General features: G+C 47.4%; 1 protein-coding gene across 1 annotated transcript in view, besides 3 other annotated features; it reads right to left on the bottom strand.

Annotated features, from left to right (window-relative positions):
* Positions 1-16,430, bottom strand: part of ZNRF3 (zinc and ring finger 3) — a 173,917-nt gene extending 157,487 nt beyond the window's left edge. The window contains exon 1 of the mRNA NM_001206998.2: positions 15,936-16,430. Coding sequence (NP_001193927.1) covers positions 15,936-16,235 — 300 coding nt within the window. The 5' untranslated portion in view covers positions 16,236-16,430. The remainder of the gene's footprint in view (positions 1-15,935) is intronic.
* Positions 7,547-7,841: a silencer, noted in NCBI's record as "tiled region #5766; K562 Repressive DNase matched - State 19:H4K20". NCBI's record gives its function as "represses a minimal TATA promoter and a strong SV40 promoter by Sharpr-MPRA in K562 cells {active_cell/tissue: K562}" and the evidence as "EXISTENCE:reporter gene assay evidence [ECO:0000049][PMID:27701403]".
* Positions 13,747-14,041: a silencer, noted in NCBI's record as "tiled region #4838; HepG2 Repressive DNase unmatched - State 1:Tss". NCBI's record gives its function as "represses a minimal TATA promoter and a strong SV40 promoter by Sharpr-MPRA in HepG2 cells {active_cell/tissue: HepG2}" and the evidence as "EXISTENCE:reporter gene assay evidence [ECO:0000049][PMID:27701403]".
* Positions 16,324-16,723: a silencer, noted in NCBI's record as "silent region_13582". NCBI's record gives its function as "represses an Ori minimal core promoter by ATAC-STARR-seq in GM12878 lymphoblastoid cells {active_cell/tissue: GM12878}" and the evidence as "EXISTENCE:reporter gene assay evidence [ECO:0000049][PMID:35858748]".

The raw sequence follows: 17,794 nt of genomic DNA, 5'->3' as shown, positions 1-17,794 counted from the left end.
AGGCCCACCATATAACTTCCACACCTTTGCAAAAGGACAATTAAAACAGCCTTGCAAAAGTAAACTAACTATTGCTTGAGCCCAAGAGTTCGAGACTAGCCTGGGCAACACACTGAGACTTCATCTCTAGAAAACATAAACAAAATTAGCTGGGCATGGTGGTGCACGCCTGTGGTCCCAGCTACTTGGGAGGCTGAGGTGGGAGGATCGTTTGAGCCTAGGAGGTCGAGGCTAAAGTGAGCCAAGATCATACCACTGCACTTTAGCCTGGGTGACAGAATGAGACTGTCTTAAAAAAAAAAAAAAAAGAAAGAAAGAAAGAAGAAAAGAAAGAAAATTAACTCATGCTATCTGAGCACATAGTAAGAATTATAGTTTTCTATAGCATCTTCTTGCAGGGAACATATAGGGAATAAGTTTACTTGGAATATTCAAAACTATTCTGCCCCCATCCCATTGCTGTTTCAGAGCTTTCCCTTCCAAAAACAAGGTTGGTATGGCAACCAATGCCCCAGTCACCGTGGTCCCTAACCACATCCGCCGGGGCTTGGCATGCTGAGACGTGTGCCAACTCTGTTGTCTGTAGGGCACTCCTGGCCACAGTACACAGCAAGCTATAATCAAGTCAGAAACCACCACATTCGTATAGAACTTGGCTCAACATAAATATTCATTAAATGTGAAAACTTACAGTGATGCAATGTTGAGACTGCAAATTTAAACACAAGAGTCAGGAAATGCAAAAATTACCACTGCCACTGGAACTTGAAATCACCCACCCGGCACATTTAATACCACAAGTGTGTTTATATGTGTCCTAGAGATTTAAGCCTAATAACACCAAAACTTCAAAACTATAATCTCTTCATCTAATTCCTAGGATGAGGGTGACATTTATTGATGGGCATTAGAGCATTTCTGGAGTGAACATGCCATGAAAAGGCAGCCTGAAAACCCTCTAGCACAAGTGAAATACAACATATCATAGATTCTGGAATATTCCTGAAAGTCCCAATGCCCATGTAATCACCACTGTCCCACAAAAACAGTTAAAAAAAAAAAAAAAAAAAAAAAACCTCAGCATGTCAACTTATACAGAACTAAGCAATAATTCAATAATTTCCCAAATGCTTACAGTCAGCCCCATAAAGACTAGAAAATCAAACGTTTGCTAAATTGAAATCTAAAATTCTCTCACATGTAGCCTGTTAAGTCTCTTTAGAAATACTACTACAGTCCTTTTAAATTCTGCTTCCCACACAGCGCTTAAACACAGGATCAAGGCCCATGCCAGAGCTTCCAAAGGGAAAAAAATATAGGGGGAAGCAATATGGCACAAATGTAAGTAAAGACTCATATACATTTGTTTCTGATGGGTCATTCTGAAGCTACATAGAACTTCTACTACGCCTCCAAAAGTCCCGGTGTTTTAAGTGACACCAAAATATTATATTTTACATATTTAAATAAAACACATCCCCAAAAGTCTACAGTCAGGCTGTGATATTCTCTTCTCCAGCATGTTCTGAACAATGTTCCCAGGGCAGGCACACGCCAGACTGGAAGGAGCCAGAGGGTGTCACCTCCTACTGTCTCCTTTCTCCAGACCTCCAGGAAGCACAGGCAAGGTGAAATTATTTTGAGAGTCTGGACTATCCCAACTATTTGGAATAATCAGGACACACCATGTCTGAAAGCTGCTTGCAAATAGTTGCGACAATCACAGAAAATTCTCCCTCAAAAAAACAAGTCTTGGCTGGGCACAGTGGCTCACGCCTGTAATCCCAGCACTTTGGGAGGCCGAGGTGCATAGATCACCCGAGCTTAGGAGTCCAAGAGCAGCCTGGGTAACACAGCAAAACCCCCTCTCTACGAAAAATACAAAAAATTAGCCAGGCGTGGTGGTGTGTGCCTGTGGTCCCAGCCAGCTACTCAGGAGGCTCAGGTGGGAGGATCGTTTGAGACTAGGAGGCGGAGGTTGCAGTGAGATGAGATCGTGCCACTGCACTCCAACCTGGGTGACAGAGTGAGACCCCACCTAAAAAAAGAGAAAAAAAGCCAAGCCTTTTTTTCTGCAGGCCACATTAACACCCCTTTCACATCCCTCTCACTATGCTATCCCAAAGTAGTGTGATCTAGGAGAATTCCGGTTCGGTAAATAATTTACATGTTTTACATCCAAGACAATAGGGAGATGGAGTGCTCTGATTCAAAGGAACACACTGGTGGAACCCAGGAAAAAGCTTCATGGGAAGGACTGAAAGTTTGGCTGCAGATGGGAGGAGCTAGGACAGGAAAAAGACAGTGGAAAGCAAAGACGGGAGTTGAAAATGTGGAGGTGAAGACACGTATTACAGCAGGCAATCCAAAAGGAAAGGCACAGGCCAGGTGCGGTGGCTCACGCCAGTAATCCCAGCACTTTGGGAGTTGAGGCAGGTGGATTGCTTGAGCTCAGGAGTTCAAGACTAGCCTGGGCAACATGGTGAAACCATGTCTCTACTAAAAATACAAAAATTAGCAGGGCGTGGTGGCGCATTTCTGTGGTCCCAGCTACTCAAGAGGCTAAGGCAGGAGGGCTGCTTAAGCCCGTGAGGCAGAGTTTGCAGTGAACGGAGATCACGTCACTGTACTCCAGCCTGGGTGGGTGACAGAGTGAGATTCTGTCTCCCCGATCCCCCTAAAAAAGAAAGAAAAGCACTGAGAGAGGAAAGCCCAGGACCCACTCAGGAACAAGGACAGCAACACACAGGCCCACGCCCGGAGGCAACAATGAGAGACTGGGGCAGCTAGGTCACCTCTTCACACAGCTCAGTAGTAAGCAACAGGACGCCACGAAAGATTTTGATCAAGAGACTGATGTGACCAAACACTACTTTAGAAGGATGAATCTGAAGGGAAGGGAAGAACTGATGGGAAGAAAGAGAATGTGAGAGCCGACTGCAGTGGCACATGCCTGCATAGTCCCAGCTACTCGGAAGGCTGAGACGGAAGGATCGCTTGAGCCCAAGAGTTCAAGTCCAGTCTAGGCAACATAGTGAGACTTGGTCTCTTTTAAAAACAAAGAAAAAGAAAAACCAAAAGAGAGAGAATGAGAGACAGGGAAACAGCTTGGGCAGCATCAGGCCTGAAGAGGGAAGTCAGCAAGAGGCAGAGCAAGCCAAGCATTGTCTTGAAGATACCACCATTTCCCTTCAACTCAGCCACAAGCTACCTTTATTTAAATTTTGAAATAGCTTTGCAAGTCAAGCTTGCAACATTCTTTACATGCCATTAGCTGTCTGCTCACCACCTACTCCAAGACTGATGTACTTTCTGAAAAGATGCCAAGTCTCCAGGTACCCAGCGATATTCCAGAAATCCCATAAAGGTGCTAAACACACAATGTCAAATGCATTTAAAGAAAAGTATACAAATTAGGTACAAAGAAAAGCATTCTCAGGCCGGGCACAGTGGCTCACGCCTGTAATCCCAACACTTTGGGAGGCTGAGGCAGACAGATCACTTGAGGTCAGGAGTTTGAGACCAGCCTGGCCAACATGGCGAAACCCTGTCTCTACTAAAAATATAGGGGCCAGGCGTGGTGGCTCACACCTGTAAGCCCAGCACTTTGGGAGGCCGAGGCGGGCGGATCACGAGGTCAAGAGATCGAGACCATCCTGGCCAACATGGTGAAACCCTGTCTCTACTAAAAATACAAAAATTAGCCAGGCGTGGTGGCACACGCCTGTAGTCCCAGCTACTCGGGAGGCTGAGGCAGGAGAATCGCTTGAACCCGGGAGGCGGAGGTTGCAGTGAGCCAAGATCGCGCCACTGCACTCCAGCCTGGCCGACAGAGCGAGACTCCGTCTCAAAAAGATAAAAATAAAAATAAATAAAAATAAAAATTAGCCGGGCGTGATGGTGGACGCCTGTAATCCCACCTACTCGGGAGGCTGAAGCAGGAGAATCGCTTGAACCCAGGATGGGGAGGTTGCAGTGAGCCAAGATCACTCCACTGCACTCCAGCCTGGCCGACAGAGCAAGACTCCGCCTCAGACCACCTGAACAGCAGACAGCCTTCTGGGGCAGAATCCAGAAAAGGCACTCCCAAATGAGAGGATGAACTAAGATACTGTAAGTGAAAGTACACCAGGAACCCTAAAGCAACAGGCACATGGAAGATTTTCTGGAATTCAACCATCGCAGCAGAATGCCATTCTAGAAAGACCACCCCTCCCCCGAGAACCCCAAGTTCTGAGTTCTAATCCCAGCTCTTAAGACCAAAGGCTAGATGCCCTTGCCCACAGTTCCCTCACTGCAAAAGGAGAGCTAAGTCACAGCATTTTCTTTTTTTTTGAGACGGAGTCTCGCTCTGTCGCCCAGGCTGGAGTGCAGTGGCGCAATCTCGGCTCACTGTAAGCTCCGCCACCCAGGTTCATGCCATTCTCCTGCCTCAGCCTCCCGAGTAGCTGGGACTACAGGCACCCGCCACTGCGCCTGGCTAATTTTTTGTATTTTTAGTAGAGACGGGGTTTCATCGTGGTCTCGATCTCCTGACCTCGTGATCCACCCGCCTCAGCCTCCCAAAGTGCTGGGATTACAGGCGTGAGCCACCGTGCCCGGCCGGAGTCACAGCATTTTCAAGGTGCCCTTCAGCACAAACAATTAAGTCTCAGAGTTGAGAAACCATGGAGCCAAAAAGAGAGAAGGAGCAAAGATCCTGAAGGCACAGGCCAATGGCTCCAGACTTCAGCCTTCAACACCTACACCAAAGCAAAAAGAGCCCTCTGGTCACATCAAGGGTAGCTGGGCCTTCCTCAGTAGCATAACTTGAGACTCATGGGGTCCACTGATGGACATCTCACACTCAGGTTGGTTGGGGAAGGAGAGAAAAGAGACTTGCCAAGCACAAGTTAAAAGCTTTCAACTTTGGAACTTCCAGAGACAGAAAGGATGGCCAGCTACAGTGTCTACAGGGCCAGGCATCTGTAAATGGAACTGTCAGTGAGGGAAGTAAGCTGGGCAATGCGATAAGGACTTGTGACTGGAGGGCCTGTGTACCTGCTGAAGGGGGGCAGCTGCCACTCCACTATGGCAGGCTATTGCCTCATGGGACTGTGGACCCACTGATGCCAGATCTTTTAATTTTTTTTTTAGAAGAGCCCATTTTTATGTACACTTTCTAGATTTTTAACAGCGATCGAACAAAATACCTGGAAGCTGTTTTCAGCCTATATGCTTGCTGCTTAAATGCACCCCTGAGAGTCTGGTGCTTGGGCTCAACTTGCATCTCTGCCCACCACCAACTGACAGTGTCACTATGAATTCAAGGACAGATTCATTCGGCCTTTCTGAATCCAGCCTGTTCAGAAGCAGAAAGCCTGCTCGACAGGAAAGAGGAAGGGCAGAAACCAGCAACTGAAGCAGCACCCTCCTGGGCAACAATCTGCTGCCACAGGGTGTGACGACAGCACAGCGGTCCCCACCGTGAGGCCTCTGAGCATGGCCATCTGCCTGGACAGACGCCGTGTTCCTGCCCAGAATACAAGGGCAACCTGCTGCTCCTGAATCATGCTCTGATACACCTACAAGGGAGGCACCCAGATGCCACGCCAGGTACCTTCCCTTCAGTGCAGACATTAGTCATAATTCAGATCCTTATGGCAGACAAAAAAAAAAAAAAAGCCAGTATTTTACTATTTACTAAATGATAGGAATATATAGACTTTCACTTTTACGACATTTTGTATTTTTGAGAAACATACAGTGGGTCACAGTGGCTCACGCCTATAGTCTCAGCACTTTGGGAGACCAAGGTGGGTGGATCACTTGAGCCCTGGAGTTTGAGACCAACCTTGGCAATATGGCAAAAACCCATCTCTACAAAAAAAAAAAAAAATTAGCCAGGCATGGTGGTGCATGCCTGTAGTCCCAGTTACTTGGGAGGCTGAGGCGGAAGGATCACTTGTGAGCCTGAGATTTCAAGCTGCAGTGAGCCAAGAAAGATTGCGCCACTGCACTCCAGCCTGGGCAACAGAGCAAAATATACTATCTGTTGCGAGCAGGGCTATTGTGTAGAAACATACATGGCGACCTGGTAGGGGTGTATAAACTAGACCACTCCTGTAGAGCAATCTAAAAATATGTAGCAAAAGCCTCAAAAATGTTTATATCACTTAACTCAGTGAACCTAATTCTAGAAATCTTATGAAAATAACCAAGGCAGGCCGGGCACAGTGGCTCACGCCTATAATCCCAGCACTTTGGGAGGCCAAGGCGGGTGAATTGCTTGAGCTCCCAAGTTCAAGACCAGCCTGAGCAACATGGGGAAACCCCATCTCTACAGAAAATACAAACATTAGCTGGATGTGGTGATGTGCACCTGTAGTCCCAGCTACTCGGGAGACTGAGGTGGGAGGATGGCTTGAGCCCAGGAGGCAGAGGTTGCAGGGAGCCAAGATCACGCCACTGCACTCCAGCCTGGGCGATAGAGCCAGAACTTGTCTCGAAAAAAAAAAAAAAGAAAAAGAAAGAAAGAAAATTACCAATGCTGGCACGGTGGCTCACACTGGTAGCTGCAAGGCTCACTGCAGCCTCAAACTCTCGAATAAATCAGAAAAATAACATTTGAAAAGCACAAATTATACCACGGGTGCATAAAACCGATGTTTCTTCTCTATACGGTATCTACAGTAAACATTCAATAAATGTTTGCTGACAAGATAGCAAAGCCAAATTAACTCAAGTAGAAAATTAAGTTATAATAAAATTCTTACAGTGCTGGATGGGAACTTACACACACCTAATTGAGTACTACCCCACTCTTAATTTTATTTTTTATTTTTTTATTTTTTTTGAGACAGAGTCTCGCTCAGTCGCTCAGGCTGGAGTGCAGTGGTGTGATCTCGGCTCACTGCAAGCTCCACCTGCCGGGTTCACACCATTCTCCTGCCTCAGCCTCCCGAGTAGCTGGGACTACAGGCGCCCGCCACCACGCCTGGCTAATTTTTTGTATCTTTAGTAGAGACGGGGTTTCACTGTGTTAGTCAGGGTGGTCTCGATCTCCTGACCTCGTGATCTGCCCGCCTCAGCCTCCCAAAGTGCTGGGATTACAGGCATGAGCCACCGCGCCGGCTCTTTTATTTTTTAAATGCAGGCACTTCTGCACCAGGAGGCCAGAAGTCCCCATTCTAACATACGTTTTCCCATCAAAATTCTAGGATCAAACTTCGTTTTCACAGAATCAAACTCTATACTGAGTTTCTAAACAACTATATTACACTGGCTGCTGGGGAGAGGAGGAAATTAATATCAAGTCTTACAACACATCTTAAGGGCAATAAAAATAAAGTGCTCTCCTTTGAACCACAATGGGCCAGCTGACCTTATTCTTTTGACACTATCATGAGTAAACAGAGCCACTGAAAGTCAGATTTTAAAACATCTCATTCAAGCTACAAATAGAACAAAGAACCTCTACTCTCTACCTCCTTCCTATTCCGTTAGAAAGGTATAAAGGCACCTCTCTTCAAAGAGGTTATCAGCTTTAACCTCAAAGGTAGGTAAAAATGAGTTGGAAAAGGCCAGAATGCTCATACAGTGACAGACAGGTCTAAACTTAGCACCAGGGCCCGATTCCCTCCCCCAGGTGTTCTTCAGTATCCTATAGGCTGTTTCCTACCAGATAGGACATGCCCCACTGTACTGTAAGGTAACCGTTCGTGTGCTGTCTGGACACCTACACTCAGCTGCCTGCAGGCAGGGACCAAGTCTTACTCTTGTGTTCATTGCCTTGCCCCACAAAGGATCTGATGGACGGGGGGCACCACTGAATGTTTGCCCACTGAGGCATGTAGCACTCGTGGTAAGTTTTAACAACCAAGAGGATTCAATGAGCCTGTGCAAAGTAAGAAAGGTCACAAACATGGGACGTGACCTCTTTGGAGAAAGACATGCAGACTCCCAAATTGCTATAAAAGTCAGCCACAGGAAGGAGGTGTGTCTCACACCAGAAATCCCTTTAAATGCCAGAAAACTACAGCCATTCCAGCTTGCCCAATAGCTGAAAACAACAGAAGTGCCATCGAGTGACAGTTATATATGTCAAGTCACTGGTCCCTCTTTGTGAACCTGGTAGATTGGCTCTTTATGGAAAAAACTAAGTTAGAATGAGACTTTTGTGATTTAAAAAAAGAAGAGGAAAAGAAAGGAAGGAAATACATCTTTGTGAGGATAGGGGATTTTCTCAGTTGACGTTATAGACTTATTTCTTGGTCAATCGTTTTGGGTTTAAACTCAACTCTAAATTCCACATCAGTTCCCATAACCTCATCATAAGAAAGTGTGAAGTGAAGCGGGCTTGTGAAAACAGAAATGGCTTAGAATCAGACAGACCAGGATTTGAACCTCAGCTGCACTAATGACTTGCTCAGTGACTTTGACAAGTGACTTTACCTCTCTGGCACATGCCATCTACCTTGTCTGTTAAATGTGAGCAAAGCACTGTGCCCAGTGCCTGGCACACAATAAGCACTTGATCATTAGTAGCTATTTTTAAAAGCTCTGACAGGGAGGAAGACTGAGAGACTCAAAATCTAAATTAATTAGAGAAGAAAAGCAACCACTTAAACCCAATATACAATTTAAGAATGCCTGGCTTTCCTCAATTATACATCTGATCATAAAGCATGCCCTGCATCTGGTGTCCCCTGTCACACTCAGCCAGGCTACAGCCGGGGGTAACAGAAGGGCTCCAAGCCTGGGAGTCAGGGGACCCAAATATTAATCCTGGGTCATCTCTACCTTATGTGGACTTCAGCAAAGCATTTCTCTGGATTTCAGTCTCCTTTCTAACACATTAAAGGACTGAATCTGGTTCTTTTGATTATGAAGATTTACTTAAATGTCACAAATTAGAAATCCAAACTCTCCAGACTTGGGAAAATACCATCAAGAAGCAAAGTTCTGACCAGATATGGTGGCTCTCACCTGTAATCCCAGAGCACTGGGAGGCCAAGGCAGGAGGATCACTTGAGGCCAGGAGTGCAAGACCGGCCTAGGCAACATAACGAGACCCTATACCTACAAAAAATAAAAAATTAGCTCGGTATGGTGGCATACACCTGTAATTCTAGCAACTGGGGAAGCTGAGGCCTGAGAACTGCCTGAGCCCAGGAGTCCAAGAGTACACTGAGCCATGATCTTACCACTGTGCTCTAGCCTGGGCAACATGGTGAGACCCTGACAAAAAAAAAAAGAGAGAGAGAGAGAAAGCAAGCAAGCAGCAAAGTTTTTCACATGGCATATATTTAGGTTAACGATGATACTGAATGCCAATCCCTTATTGTTACTCCCAGGGACACTGGAAATTCAAGATTCTTTCCTTCCATAACCTATCCACTTTAAGGCTTTGTCAATACTCAGTTTCATCAGGAAAAGAACACCTTCAGACTTTTCTTATGCCAGGTACCCTGCCTTGGAATATAAACACCCCACACAGATTTCTTTTTATTTTTTTTATTTTGAGACGGAGTCTTGCTCTGTCGCTCAGGCTGGAGTGCAGTGGCGTGATCTCGGCTTACTGTAACCTCCACCTCCTGGGTTCACGCCATTCTCCTGCCTCAGTCTCCCCAGTAGCTGGGACTACAGGCCCCCGCCACCACGCCCGGCTAATTTTTTATATTTTTGGTAGAGACAGGGTTTCACCGTGTCAGCCAGGATTGTCTCGATCTCCTGACCTTGTGATCTGCCCGCCTCGGCTTCCCAAAGTGTTGGGATTACAGGCGTGAGCCACCACACCGGGCCAGATCACTTTCATACAACCCAGTATTGTAATACCAGTGGGTCTATGGGAACCAGAGAGAGAGCTATCCTTTCCATCCAAGCAAGTTTCTGGAAATAACAATCAAAAAGGAAGGATAATCCCAGAATTTATTAGCCAAGCCAAAGCAAGTTGTTCTCATCAATTAAAGCATAAATAATCCATAAAACCCACTGCCTGCCTGATGTCCACTCTCCATCATTTATTCATTCAATACTGAGTGCCTCATGCATAGCAGGCAGTGGGAACCCAGGGGGTCGATCCAGAAATGAGCAAAAACAGACCCCATGGGGTCCAGGTCCACAAGGGAAGGTGTGAGAAGCTACTCTTCAGGCATTTCAACAGCGACAGGTGCTCCGTTTCATTTTTCAATGAACTATGAAACGGAACTATACTCTGCTTTCCCACATCCTGCATTCAGAGTGTCAAGTTCTTACACTTTGCCATGTAAATGCAGAAAAGTCTTTGAGTGACTATATTCTCTCTTCTCCCAAGGATGCTGCGCAGTGCACAGGAGGGAAGTTAATTCATTATAGACAATGGATGCCTCAGGGCCTAAGGGCTCAGTTCGGTGGAGAAACCCATTTGGTAAGAATTATCATTTATCCATGCATGTGTCTGTCTCCATAGGAGACTGAACTCCAGAAGACAACAGCAATACAGTGTCTGGTACAGAATAGGGCTGTGATAGATGTCTACAAAATAAATATGTTCAATGGAGGCACCCAGACCTGTAGACTTCCGTACAACTCTTGTCAGCCTGAACCCCACTCAAACTCTTGGTAATGGATTATTCAATGCTCTACTAGATTAGAGTTTCCCCTTTTCCTTGTGGGTATAGAGGGGACACATCACAGAACCCTGGAAGAGGCAAAGTTGTAACTGCCCATAGACAAGAATACGCATACACTTGCAGGAGTTCATGGACTATCTCTGAAAGTCTGTGACCCTCAGGTTAAGAACCCCTATATTATATGTTGTTCAAAATTAGACTTGAATTAATGTCAAAATCCTAACCAGCCAAGTTCTGTTCACTTGGCAAAAACAAGAACAAGCAACCCAGGCAGACCTGGGTTTCTTTTTTTTTTGAGACGGGGTCTCGCTCTGTCACCCAAGCCGGAGTGCAGTGGTGTGATCTCAGCTCACTGCAACCTCCGCCTCCCGGATTCAAGCAATTCTCCTGCCTCAGCCTCCTGAGTAGCTGGGATTACAGGCATGTGCCACCACACCTGGCTAATTTTTTTTGTATTTTTTTTGTATGGTTTCACCATATTGGCCAGGCTGGTCTCGAACTCCTGACCTTGTGATCCACCCGCCTCGACCTCCCAAAGTGCTGGGATTACAGGCGTGAGCCACCGCGCCCGGCCAGACCTGGGTTTCAATCCAGGTTTGTCATCTGCTAGCCATGTGAAGTTAGAGAACTCAACTTGCTTCTCTCAGCCTCAGTTTTTCTCCTCTGTAAAATGGATTAACAATAGTTGCTAATTGCATGTTAGTGTCAGGATGAGAAGAACCAAAACATGACATGCTTGGCAGTGCTCTGTATAAATAAGAGGAAACCATCACTACTTTCCCTTTAATCTACAGCTCTACACTGAACTCCAATTTCATTCCTATTCAGAATTGTACTAGTAACTCCCATGAGATCTCAGGGAACAAAACAGAAAATAAGGGGCTCTAAGAATGTATAACATCACAAAATACAGCCCCAGTTTTCCCCCTGAATCAAATGCTTGGTTTTAACCTATGAAGGCCCATCTGAGAAGACAGTAGGCAATCCCTTTCTGTCTAAATCCAGGTCAGCTGTCAGCACACAATTGTTCTATTAGACCAAGTCAATTTTTAGAGGCAGGCCTGTTAAGTTAACTTAAAATGGAGATGAAAAGAAAGTGTTTGATCAAATGCTAAACTGCAGAAGCACACTGACAGGGAAACAAAGCAGAGGAATTAGTTTCCTAAAATTACTCTCTGTGATACCTTTACTTAACATCGGATATTTAAGGACCTTGATCAGCCCTTTTAACCCACCACCCAGCTCTCTACCCACCCCTAATAGCTAAAGGAACTGACTTAGTTCTTAAATGTCCTCAGCTTCTCTCTGTTTTCAAGTCCATTCAGCATTTAACCTAGGACCCAGAAAGGCTGAATTTAAAGTTACACAGAACCTGTCATTCAGATTCCTTCTACAAATGAATTTCTCAAGCTTTTCTAAATATTTGACTTCAAGCAAAAAAAAAATGCATTTCGACTTTAAAACAATCTTTCATCTCTAGCAATGCAAATTTTCTTTGTTTAACCAATCCACATACCACTAGCCGGTGTTTAATCGGGCCTTTATTTAACATCACCAACCATGTGAGTTGCACAGCCAAGTCTGAAAGTTTCAGATAATGATCTCATTAACAGCAACAAATTGGTTCAAAGATGAAATATGTATCAATATATCTAAGAACCCTTTAAAGTCCCACACTTCAGAACTACAGGAGAAGTGTAATTAATTTCTCCAGCATTCAAACTGTATGCCTGACACTCTTACAAGCAAACAGGCTTTAATACTGCATAAATACATAAGATAATAAAAGTAACTAATAGCATTTCATACCCACAAATTGTTTTCACCACAACTTTCACAGATGGAGACATTAAAAAAAAAATTCTTCATTCAGATTACATTGGTGACCTTGGGATAGTTATTTAAGCCTAAAACGCAAAGGAGAAGAACCAAGATTCCTGATGACGAATCCTAAGGTTTGAATTACTACCTCCCTCCCTCTTGCACTCTCTCTCTCTCTCTGACACTGACAAACTGACACAATTCTTAACTAGGCTTCCCCTACCCTAACCCATGGAAATGACTGAACAGGTACTCTAGTTAGAATTATCTAGGCAAACCAGACTATGATAAGGTATCTACTATACAAATATATGTATACACACACACACACACACACACACACACACACACACTCTCTCTCTCTCTCTTCGTTGGCATATAATAAGGAGGGGGGTTAAAAATCAGTAATACAAACGAATTCCTTATCTTAGAATTCTTAAAGGTGACACTCCTAAACAGGTTTTTTCTCCCCTAAACCATGAATAAATAAAACTGCTACAGAACCCCAGTGGAAATAACAAAAGCAATGCTATAGTGCTACTATTTAGCTTTAGTTATAGGAAAATGAACTCTGCTCTGAGACGATAAAACACTAAGCAGCAAATCACAGTTTTTGTTTGTTTGTTTGTTTTTGAGAGAGTGTCTCGCTCTGTTGTCCAGGCTGGAGTACAGTGGTGTAATCATGGCTCACTGCAACCTCAGCCTCCCAGGCTCAAGCAATCCTCCCACCTCAGCCTCCCAAATAGCTGGGACTACAGGTGCACACCACCATACTGGGCTACTTTTTTTTTTTGTAGAGACCAGGTCTAACTGTGTTGCCCAGGCTGGTCTCGAACTCCTAGGCTCAAGCAATCCTCCTGCCTCAGCCTCCCAAAATGCTGAGACTACAGGCGTCAGTCACCATGCCTGGCTACTATTTTCTTTTAAGATAGTAAATAAAAGGAAGTTTTGAAAAGTTCAATGAGACTGTGTCACCAGGGCACAGTGAAAGCCTCAAAGAAAGACAAGAAGTTACAATGAGCAAGAGTTAAGATTCAAACTATTCTTGAAGACTGTGGATAAAATGTTTGGGAATCTTCAGCATAGCATCATCTCTAAAGCTTATAAAGGTTTTTCAAGATAGTAAACAAAAGGAGGTTTATTTAAAGACAGTAAATAAAAGGAGGTTTTGAAAAGTTCAGGTTACTTAGAAAACATGATTAATCCAAAGCTGGACAGCAATTTATTCCTTCTGCTTTCTCATTTCTCACCAAAAGAAAATGTTATATTCCCTCTCAGCGGCCCTAAAACATCATCAGCCTTCCTTACAAAAAACTTTTTCAGGGCTGCCAGACAAGGTCCACACCAATTCCTTCAATCAAACAGTATTTGCAGAACTCATAAAAGCATGCTAGCCTTTGTACACACACATCCCTGAAAGCCACACTGCACTCTGTCCGCAGAAACAGGGAGGTTCAACAAGTCAGCTACCACAATAAAGTTACTAAAGATACGAGGTGCACCATGAAATGACTATTCAGACAGCTCAGATAAACTCACCAACATTACTGCAGCTATAAGGGAATTAAGGACACCTATTAGTGATTGCTTAACAAGTAAACTTATTAAATACCATTTAAGTCACTTTACTTAGCAACTATTGACTTTTTTTTTTTTTTGGCTAGGCTAATGGACTACAAAAGAGTTAGATAAGCACTTCAAAAAGTTTCAGAAGAGAATAGATTCCTTCTGCCAAATTCACATATTATCTCTCTACTCACAAGGATAAAATAGTTACAAATGGTGTTTAAACTGCTAATTTTGTATTAAATGGTGAACCCAAGATTATCTCCAAAGCATAACACTCCTCATAATGGATAGCTCGCTCACCAGACAAACTACTGTTGAGAAAGAGTGACACGTTAAAACATTGCAGATAAAAACTGCAAACTTCAAAAGTCTCCTTCAAAAAGTCAAGTGCCACGCTAGAGCGTCTTTTTTTTTTTTTTTTTTTTTTTTAGAAGGCTGTAAATCAAACATTTCTAAAACCATCAGGACACAATGAAAGCCTCAAAGAAAGACAAGAAGTTGCCAAGGAGCAAGACTTAAATGTTTAGGAATCTTCAGCAAAGCATCATCTCTAAAACTTATAAAGATCATAATTACAACTTTTTTTAAGTCCAAAAGCATTAACATAGATAGTCAAAGGGCTCAATGAAGGAGTTTCCTCTTCTATTTACCCTACAGAAGTTTTCGGATGGGGATAAGAGCCCGGTAAGGCAATGCTGCTGATTAATCGCATGGGCCTGGGTACCTCCTCCAGCTTTGTAAGGGCACACCTCTACGGAGTCAAGCTGCACAGCTCTCCCTGTCCTATGAAGGCAGGGCTTTGAGTCTGCACCCAAGGAAGGAAAAGGACACCACGGAACAGGCTGTCTACGCTGCGGGCTGCTATGCAATCATTCCATGGAGTCCCCTTCTTTTCATTCATAACTCACCCAAGAGTAAAGCACAGAAGGCCCACAAAGCTTAGGCCCTGCAGACATCCGATCACCCCAAAGATTCAAAGACAAGCCAACCTTTACGAATCGCCCCCATCCGAGGCGCGCATATTAACTGCCATTATTAGTGCGCTGGCTGTCTAGTAACAAGTTGATAAAATCACGGCCAAGGAAGCGGGAAGACATCCACCCAGCTAACCATCCGCAGAAGCTTCAGTTGAGAGTCCCTCCTCCAAAGAGTAGGCACGGCTTAAAGGTCTCCCTAGCCAGTTTCCTTTGGAATGTAGATCTCTTTCATTTGGTCCAAGGTGGAGGTCCTGTCAGTGAGATACGCCATCTCCCCATTTGCAGGTCCTTCGCATCAGTCTTTGGCCGAGGGACGGGCAGGCGGTATCCCTCCCACCCTCTGTAATGTGAAGCATGCAGCGAGGGCTGCCTTCCATCGCCACTCCAGGGAACCCCCGATCCCCACTCCTCGACCAGCTCCGCCTCCTCCCCTGCCTGCTGCTGCTTGTCCAGAGCCCCGCAGAAGGGTCACCGGCGCCCAGGTGAGGCGGACGGCAGGTTCCGGGGAAGAACCCGACGTTGTGCAGCCCTTCAGACAAACCTGGCCGCACCCAAAAAGAACATGCATGGATGGAAAAGCAAAGCCTGCAACCTGAAACGAGCCACCCCATCCCTCATCACTTGTCTTTTCAAAGTTGGCATTCAACAGGTAGTTCCCGGGACTTCCACCTGAGGCAGACCTAAATACCCAACCGGCCAAGGGGGCTGCCCCAGCATGGGTGCCGGGCCCAGGATGCCCCTCCCGCCCCGGGGTTCACAGGAGCTCTAGCCCCCACGTGCGCTCGCCCCCCGCGGATGCGCCCCGGAGGCCGCGTCCCGCCCGCCTGCCCGCCCGCAGGGGAGGGATGCCGCCGGCCTCTCGGCCACCCCTCCCGCCCGCCCGCCAGTCAGGCAGCCCGCGGCGGGGTCGGCGGGCGCAGCCCCCGGAGCCATCTTGTGGCGGAGGCGGCGCGGGGCCCGGGCGGCGGGCAGCTACCTGCACGATCTCGCCCTCGGCGCTGAGCGTGGCCCCGGCCCGCGAGAAGCGGCCCGTGAGGCCGGTGGTGTAGGTGGTGTAATCGCCGCTTGGGCTCGACTCGAACAGCACCACCTCCACGAACGCCGTCTCCTTGGCCCGCGCCGCGCCGGGCCCCGCGGCCGCCAGCAGCAGCCCGAGCAGCAGCGGCAGCGGCGGCGGCGGCGGCAGGCGGCTGCACCGGAGGCCGCGGGGGCGGCGGCGCAGGCGGCGGCGGCGGCGGCCCGTGGCCCCTGGGCGCCCGCCCGAGCGCGGCCTCATGGTCCTGCGGCGGGAGGGCGCGGAGGGCGGGCGCGGCCGGGCATAGTCGCGGGCCGGCTGAGGACCGAACGCGGGCGGACGCCTCACAGCCCCATCACGGCGGCGGCGGCGGCGGCTTTGTGGGTCGCAGGCTCAGCTCGGCTCCCCCGGCCGTCGCGCCGCGGCCCTTTCATCTGCTCCACGTGAGGGGTTATCCCCGCCCCGGCAGCGTCGTGACCCGCTCTCCCCTCCCTCCCCGCCCTCGGCCTCCGCAGCCGCCGCCGTGGGGAGTGAGAAGGCGGGGCAGGCGCGCCTGCGGCGAGAGGCGGGTCCCAAAGGCCGAGAACGCCCCTCCCCTCCCCGCCCCTGTTTCTATCTGTGCTCCGCCCCTTTATCCTCGCTCCTCCCCATCATCCCAGCTCCGCCCCCCGCCCGCGGTCTGCGCTCCGCCCCGTCGTCCTCGCTCCGCCCCCGCCCGCCGTCTTGCTCCACCCCATTATTCTCGCTCCGCCCCCCGCCCGTCGTTTCTACTCCGCCCCTTCGTCCTCGCTCCGCCCCTTCGTCCGCGCTCCGCCCCCGCTGCGCTCCGCCCCCTACGGCAGACATTTCTCCTCGCGGTTGCTAGAGTTCGGCGGGAACCGGGACCGCAACCTGCTCCGGGCGATGGGCGTCCTCTCTGGAGGCGCCACGCGTCCTGGTCCGGTGCAGGAGTTAGGGCCATTTGGTCTGGAAAGGCCTCGTCCTTCCTGCTTCCCCCGCCCCAATTCACAGTTCCCAGGAAGCTTGATCGCCCGCTCTGGGCGCTCCATTCCCACCCCCACCTCCAGGATCGAACGGGGAAGGCCGGGATGGTCAGGGGCAGTTTGCAGCTTGGGTCGTGTCCAGTTCTTGCACAGGTGTCGCCTAGACAGTTTCTCTGTATGAAGTCTGCACTGAAGGAGTGGGGAAGACCTTGAGGATCTTCTGATGGAGTTCATCTTTCTGCAGCCCCGGAGACTGTAATTCAGACACCGCCCCCAAAAGAAGTCTGGAAACTTTGAGTCTCGCCACGTGCAGGCCAGAGGAGTCCAACACCATTATCACCCTCTATGCACAGACTGCTGGCTGCCAAACTAACATATCTAAGGCACGTGCTCAAGGGCTCAGAGGTTCCCAGTCACCCAGAAAATAAACTTTTAATTCCCTGCCCCTTTTTGGAACATGCCTTTTCCTTCCTCATCTAGTCCTCTGAGAATTGAACCCCTCCTTCAAAAGCCAGATCCAATTCCCACTTCCTCCGTGGAGTCTTCCTTCCCTGGCCAGAATAGCTTTGTTCAGATATTTGCAAATATTTGGTTAGGATGAATCTGCTTCTACTTGCTACCACACCCAAAATGTTAAAAAGACAAAAAGAAAGAAAGAAAACTCATTAAGAATTTTCTTGAGTAAACAACTTACCAAGGTTACATTTTAAAGCTGAAAAAAAAAATTTAACGTGCAACAGAAAACACACTTGAAAAAAATCCACAGATCTCTATTACCACATTTGGACCACCCAGAGCTTCCGCTCAGGAGGGAGGCACCTGGGAAAGCAGGACTCT

This window comes from Homo sapiens, chromosome 22 (genome assembly GCF_000001405.40).
Source record: "Homo sapiens chromosome 22, GRCh38.p14 Primary Assembly".
Taxonomy (NCBI): domain Eukaryota; kingdom Metazoa; phylum Chordata; class Mammalia; order Primates; family Hominidae; genus Homo; species Homo sapiens.
Note: the sequence above shows the minus strand (reverse complement) of the source record. Positions and strands in the feature narration are given on the sequence as shown.